The sequence below is a fragment of the Homo sapiens genome, chromosome 3, assembly GCF_000001405.40.
Source record: "Homo sapiens chromosome 3, GRCh38.p14 Primary Assembly".
Taxonomy (NCBI): domain Eukaryota; kingdom Metazoa; phylum Chordata; class Mammalia; order Primates; family Hominidae; genus Homo; species Homo sapiens.
In genome coordinates this window covers 165,572,191-165,574,082 of record NC_000003.12, presented here as the reverse complement: position 1 = coordinate 165,574,082, position 1,892 = coordinate 165,572,191, and the positions used below count along the sequence as shown (strand labels likewise).

General features: G+C 48.3%; 1 annotated feature.

The window, feature by feature from the left end:
* Positions 886 to 1,480: an enhancer, noted in NCBI's record as "H3K4me1 hESC enhancer chr3:165290391-165290985 (GRCh37/hg19 assembly coordinates)". NCBI's record gives its function as "activates a minimal SCP1, AML or CMV promoter by ChIP-STARR-seq in naive H9 embryonic stem cells {active_cell/tissue: H9 hESC(naive)}" and the evidence as "EXISTENCE:reporter gene assay evidence [ECO:0000049][PMID:30033119]".

The window sequence follows — 1,892 nt, the reverse complement described above, 5'->3', positions numbered from 1 at the left end:
CTGGATATGAAATTCTGGGTTGAAAATTCTTTTCTTTAAGAATGTTGAATATTGGCCCCCACTCTCTTCTGGCTTGTAGGGTTTCTGCCGAGAGATCCGCTGTTAGTCTGATGGCCTTCCCTTTGAGGGTAACCCGACCTTTCTCTCTGGCTGCCCTTAACATTTTTTCCTTCATTTCAACTTTGGTGAATCTGACAATTATGTGTCTTGGAGTTGCTCTTCTCGAGGAGTATCTTTGTGGCGTTCTCTGTATTTCCTGAATCTGAACGTTGGCCTGCCTTGCTAGATTGGGGAAGTTCTCCTGGATAATATCCTGCAGCGTGTTTTCCAACTTGGTTCCATTCTCCCCATCACTTTCAGGTAGACCAATCAGACGTAGATTTGGTCTTTTCACACAGTCCCATATTTCTTGGAGGCTTTGCTCATTTCTTTTTATTCTTTTTTCTCTAAACTTCCCTTCTCACTTCATTTCATTCATTTCATCTTCCATCGCTGATACCCTTTCTTCCAGTTGATCGCATCGGCTCCTGAGGCTTCTGCATTCTTCACGTAGTTCTCGAGCCTTGGTTTTCAGCTCCATCAGCTCCTTTAAGCACTTCTCTGTATTGGTTATTCTAGTTATACATTCTTCTAAATTTTTTTCAAAGTTTTCAACTTCTTTGCCTTTGGTTTGAATGTCCTCCCGTAGCTCAGAGTAATTTGATCGTCTGAAGCCTTCTTCTCTCAGCTCGTCAAAGTCATTGTCCGTCCAGCTTTGTTCCGTTGCTGGTGAAGAACTGCGTTCCTTTGGAGGAGGAGAGGCGCTCTGCTTTTTAGAGTTTCCAGTTTTTCTGTTCTGTTTTTTCCCCATCTTTGTGGTTTTATCTACTTTTGGTCTTTGATGATGGTGATGTACAGATGGGTTTTTGGTGTGGATGTCCTTTCTGTTTGTTAGTTTTCCTTGTAACAGACAGGACCCTCAGCTGCAGGGCTGTTGGAGTACCCTGCTGTGTGAGGTGTCAGTGTGCCCCTGTTGGGGGGTGTCTCCCAGTTAGGCTGCTCGGGGGTCAGGGGTCAGGCACCCACTTGAGGAGGCAGTCTGCCCCTTCTCAGATCTCCAGCTGCGTACTGGGAGAACCATTGCTCTCTTCAAAGCTGTCAGACAGGGACATTTAAGTCTGCAGAGGTTACTGCTGTCTTTTTGTCTGTGCCCTGCCCCCAGAGGTGGAGCCTACAGAGGCAGGCAGGCCTCCTTGAGCTGTGGTGGGCTCCACCCAGTTTGAGCTTCCTGGCTGCTTTGTTTACCTCAGCAAGCCTGGGCAATGGCGGGCGCTCCTCCCCCAGCCTGGCTGCCGCCTTGCAGTTTGATCTCAGACTGCTGTGCTAGCAATCAGCGAGACTCCGTGGGTGTAGGACCCTCCGAGCCAGGTGCGTGATATAATCTCGTGGTGCGCCATTTTTTAAGCCCGTCGGAAAAGCTCAGTATTGGGGTGGGAGTGACCCGATTTTCCAGGTGCCGTCCTTCACCCCTTTCTTTGACTAGGAAAGGGAACTCCCTGACCCCTTGCGCTTCCCGAGTGAGGCAATGCCTAGCCCTGCTTCGGCTTGCGCACGGTGCACGCACCCACTGACCTGTGCCCACTGTCTGGCACTCCCTAGTGAGATGAACCCGGTACCTCAGATGGAAATGCAGAAATCACCCATCTTCTGCGTCGCTCACGCTGGGAGCTGTAGACCAGAGCTGTTCCTATTCGGCCATCTTGGCTCCTCCCGAAGCTATTCTATTATTATGAGCACTGAAATTCTTTTGGACTTTTTATTTTTTCTTAATTTTTAGACTTTATATACTAGAACAGATTTTTGCCTAGAGAAAAGTGAGCAGTTGATACAGTTCCTATAAATCCCCTCTAACC